Genomic DNA, 4998 nt, shown 5'->3' with positions numbered 1-4998 from the left:
GAGCTTTGGCTTGGGCCACGCCTCAGAAGAACTGAAGCAGAATCTCTGGGGGTAGGGCCTGGGCTCTGGTATTTTTTGGTAAAACTTCCTGGGTCATTGTACTGAGTACCTAGGGTTGAGAAAGATGGACAGATAAGGAAAACTAGCTTGCAGGAGTCATAAACCACAGACCTTCAGATCCGAATGGAACTTTGGAAACTGTCGGCCCAACACCCTTTTCTTTTCTTTTCGTTTCTTTTCTTTTCTTTTTTCTTTTTTTTTTTTTTTTTTTTTTCTGAGACAGAGTTTGCTCTTGTTGCCCAGGCTGGAGTGCAATGGCACTATCTCGGCTCACCACACCTCTGCCTCCTGGGTTCAAGCGATTCTCCTGCCTCAGCCTCCCAAGTAGCTGGGATTACAGGCATGCACCACCACGCCCAGCTAATTTTGTATTTTTAGTAGAGATGGAGTTTCTCCATCTTGGTCAGGCTGGTCTCGAACTCCAGACCTCAGGTGATCCACCCGCCTCGGTCTCCCAAAGATTACAGGCGTGAGCCACACAGCCCGGCCACCAACACCCTTATTTTCTAGACGGGAAAATATAAGGCCTGGGGAGGAAACATGATAAGCCTAAGCTGAGTGAGCTGTGGCAGAGCAGAGAGAGAACCCACGCGTCCTGATTCCAAGTCCAGTGTTATTTTCATGATGTGTATCACGACACATTTTAGAACTGCCCCTTGAACACTTATGCCTTGAAGGATAGTGCTTTAATAGTTGCTACCAAGAGTACAAAAATGACATGGCACCTGACATCAAAGAGCTGGACAGAGCAGCAGACATGAGCCACTGAATGTCATCACCTGGCCTTGGGCAGACAAGGGATTGCTAGATGAAGGCCCACGCTTGCCACCTCATTCTCCCCACCTACCCAGCTGTGGAACTTAACACTTACGGCTGCTACCAGTACAGCAATCTCACGCCTAGGCCTGTGCTAGAGGAGTCCAGCACTTTCTAGGACCATGCCCATGCCCATGGGCAAGGAGCCCAACAAGTCAAGGGCATACGGCTACCAGGAGCCTGCATTCCTCAGTCTAGTCCTTACCCTGAGCATCTGGAATTCCCTGTCAAAACACCACTAGCCAGGTCTGGGGCCTACATGGGTCTTTCCTCAGATTTGTTCTCCCAAGTATGGATTGTACAGCCAGCGTGTGTACCCCTAGGCCCAGGATATGCTGCCAGTGCGTGCACCTCAAAGCCTAGGGACCACCAAGGGATATATAACCAGCATGTGCACCCACCCCTAAGCCCGGGGGCCACCGAGGGATACACAGCCAGTGTGTGCACCCCTAGGTCCAGGGGCAACACAGGATATTTGCATTCAAGGGATTTGGAAGAGGACCTGGGCTTCTGAGCTGGGTGCCCTGCTGTGTCCAGATGGGGATGCATAATGGTCCTTGTGGGCAAGGACATTGCTGGGGAAGGGAAGGGAAGGGGGTTGGGCATGGGCTAGGGGTAAGCTCCCCTTTTGAGAATTCTAAATTAGAACATGGGCTTCATGTTATTATAAAGATCTATTTGTCTTGGCTGAAGGATAAAATATATTTTAGTTAATAGTTTTAGGCTTATTTTATAACTTTTAAATAATAGATTGATTAATTTGCATTCTTGCCCCAGGCTCTGCAAATGTTAGGGCAGGCCTCTAGCCCACACTTTATCTTTGTGTGTATTAGAAAACAGTGCCCCTTTTGCTGTCTGGGTAACCCCATCCAAGCATATAGCTTAGGACGTGGAGGGTGGTTGGGATTCCATCCCCATTTGGCCCCGTGGCCAGGTGTCCTTGTGCTGTGTAAACCCTGCACACCCTTACCTGGCTGTTGTGGAAGAAAATCAATCCACACTCTATTAGCATAAGGAACAATTCCCGGGACAAGGGCATGGGAGAGCCACAGTGGGACATTCTCAGTCCTTTAGGATCTCACACTACCCTGGCCTGCAGCCTCTCTCTACCTCTCCTGAATTAATAGCACCTTGTCTTCATCTCAATCAGTGATCCAAACACATGAAGAACCAAAGTACCCAGGGCCCCTTTCCCTGAAGCAAATCAGCTGGTCCACATACATGTCTGAAGTCCACGGGCTCGCCAGTCTGTGTGGGCTCTGCTGGCTCCACTGCATGCACAGAGCCTCCAACTCACAGAGCTACACTCACCATACCCCGCTAACACAGTGGAGAGAAGTTCCTGTCAAGTGGAGGGACTGGAGGAAACTTCATTTGGTGAGGACTTCTGTGGGGGGCTAAAGACTAAGCAGGCAGAGGTCATGGAAGTCCACCCATGAGCCAAGTCTAGGCGGTGGGGAACATGGGCGCAGCTGAGAAGAACGTGCCAAGGTCAAGTGAGCTGTGTGTGAAGAAGAGCAGTGGGTGAGGTGGGTTCTGAGTGTCAAGGGTAGGAAGGGGCAGGCAGGAGCAGGTCATAGCGGTCCTGAATGCTAAGACAAGCAGTTCAGAGGCCACCTGGTCTTCACGCTGACAATCTCAGCTGCACTCTCTGAGGAGACCTACAGGGCAAATCTTTCCGTGCGGTTGGTAATTTTTGACACTAGAAAAGTGTGAGTTCAAGAATGTGAGTTACACTCTCACCCAGTCAAGATGCTGGTCTTTCTCCTCAACGTGGGACTTGTTCTGAGTGAAGCCAGTACAGTGCCCGGAAGAAAGCATTGATCTTGAATCTGCTCAAGCAGGTGGCTAATTGTGTGATTGAGAACTCTGAATTTTGCCCCGTAGAGTCCCTATGCAGCAGGGCTGTGATATGCTCATCTGTGTATCATTATTCATTCATTTGTTCATTCTTCATACATCAGCCTCCAACTGAGGTTTTCCTTCAAGCCAGGTCACCACGAGAGCCAAGGACAAATCGAAGCAGCAGCAGACTGGGTCCCTCATGCCTTTCTTTATTCTCTTAGAGCCTCCATCGTAGTAAATTGCCTCTGAGAGAAGGATGAAAGACATAAATATATGCTTCTTATCTCTCAGGCAGGTGCAGTTTTGTTTTCTCTTCTGGACAGGGTATGTTGCTTAGGAAGTCTTGCAGGTAAGTGGCTGGAATGTCTCTAAAAGCCTGAGGCTAGAAATGTGAGGGCCGGTGGCCTGGAATGCAGCCTTCTATTGCTGGGACAAAAACACCTGTGAACTTTTCTTTGCGTGCTTGTATTTAGCTTTGCAGTGCAGCTGTGCATAGCCCTTTATTCCTCTATAGACTCTGTTTCTTGAAGCAAAAGACCCCAGTCCCCTATTGCCTCTCCCTCAGCTCCGCCTGTGTCTAGCGTCCGGCTAGGTGCAAAGTAGGTGATAAGTTAATGAATGTTTAACTGAATAACCCTTTCCTGCTCTGGGGTAATACCCAATACAAAGTCCTCTCTGCCCTCACGCCTCTACCCTCCAAACACACATTGACACCCTCACCCCAGACTGCAGGTGGCACTAGAAGAGCTGGGAGGGTCTGAGGTAGTGGGGGTGAGGGGCTGGGGCCTTGATTTAAACACAGACATCTTCCTGCTAGATTTCACACTGGAAAACAAATCCCAGCTTTTGTTCAAACCCTGGTTCATTGGAAGTAGTGCCCCACCCCTGGGAGGCTAAGGAGTAGGCAAACAGGATTCATGCTTATCCAAAAGGCTGATCCACACTTGAGACCTGTCCTCATCAGAGCACTGCAGTCTCACCAGTTAACAAGAGTCCCCATGAAAATTTCCTGCAGCAAACGTGACAGACGTGCTGTTTTGCAAATTGTGGCCTGCATTTGCCTAATCCCCTAGCCTGGGCAGATGCATATGAAAGGACTCCCCAAGGCTGCAGGAAGAAACAAGGGAGGCCTCCCTTCCCCCAGCACAGTCAGAGGACCCCAAGCTGGCCATGGCCCATTCCCGCCCACTGGTAGCTTCCCCTTGGTTTGGAAAACTGGAAGGTGATTGAAGAATAATGTTTCTATAGAGGTCACTAAATTGTACTGGCCACAACCTGTGCCAGGTCCTATATTCTTTCATTTCATTCTCACAATCACTTCCCAGGGGTGCTGGTGCTATTCCTGTTTTGCAGATGAAGAGACCAAGAGAGGCTAAGTTGGGGTTAAGTAACTCTCCAAAGTCCTCTATTGGGTAGGTAACAGAGTCAGGACTCCAGTCAGATCATGCGGAGCATCCAATTCGTGGTCTCTCCACTACAATGCACTCAAGCCCAGGTAGAATGCAAGAGGCAATTTGGTCTCCTCTCCAAAGCTCCACCCCCACATGATGCTCCAGGCTTCTCTCTTCCCCTGTCCCGTTCCTCTGGCATCAGCATTACAATGTCTCTGCATTCTCTGCAAAGTGAGTTATTATTTTAGAGAAAATGTGGATATGGCTCAGTTGACTTTGTTACAGGAATAGACACCCCCAGTGCCAAGAGGTCCCTTAATGCCCTGCTTGTGGGGAAATGAACATAAGCCGCCACTCTGAAGCTGTCAGGCCGCAGTGAGTAATGATCCCAAGGCTTGGCTATCTTCATGACATTTGATAGTCATTTTGCCATTCTTGTTCTCATTTAGTGAGCCTTGAAGTGTAGTAGGTGTGGTTATGACTCTTTAAATCAGGAGTTTCTTACACTATCTTTGGGATGTAACATCCTAAACTTGGAGATGGTATTTCAGATCCTGCAATTAAGACAGAAAATTAAAACTCAGCAAATAGAAGCCATTTGTCCAAAGGCATGACCAGAACTATGACTGCAAGCTCCTGAAGGCAATGCTTCTTCCACAGACTCATGAGGCTGGCGGATGAGAACACATGAGATCATGGCCTCACGGTGGTCCTGTGTCCCAGGTATCAACATCTCCATCATAGGTGAATAAACCGGGGCTAGGGAGCTGTGGTGAGTGGCAAATCAAAGTGATTAGGCTCCCACTGGTTACTCTGCCCAATAAATGTGCCTTCTCTCCATTTATACTGCCTATTTTGGAGTTTCGGTCCTGCATTGACTCACAAG

The 4998-nt window shown here is 48.9% G+C and overlaps 2 annotated features.

The window, feature by feature from the left end:
• Positions 777 to 1688: an enhancer, noted in NCBI's record as "OCT4-NANOG-H3K27ac-H3K4me1 hESC enhancer chr3:193532881-193533792 (GRCh37/hg19 assembly coordinates)". NCBI's record gives its function as "activates a minimal SCP1, AML or CMV promoter by ChIP-STARR-seq in naive H9 embryonic stem cells {active_cell/tissue: H9 hESC(naive)}" and the evidence as "EXISTENCE:reporter gene assay evidence [ECO:0000049][PMID:30033119]".
• Positions 3511 to 4420: an enhancer, noted in NCBI's record as "OCT4-NANOG-H3K27ac-H3K4me1 hESC enhancer chr3:193530149-193531058 (GRCh37/hg19 assembly coordinates)". NCBI's record gives its function as "activates a minimal SCP1, AML or CMV promoter by ChIP-STARR-seq in naive and primed H9 embryonic stem cells {active_cell/tissue: H9 hESC(naive and primed)}" and the evidence as "EXISTENCE:reporter gene assay evidence [ECO:0000049][PMID:30033119]".

Source organism: Homo sapiens, chromosome 3 (genome assembly GCF_000001405.40).
Source record: "Homo sapiens chromosome 3, GRCh38.p14 Primary Assembly".
In the NCBI taxonomy this organism is placed as follows: domain Eukaryota; kingdom Metazoa; phylum Chordata; class Mammalia; order Primates; family Hominidae; genus Homo; species Homo sapiens.
Note: the sequence above shows the minus strand (reverse complement) of the source record. Positions and strands in the feature narration are given on the sequence as shown.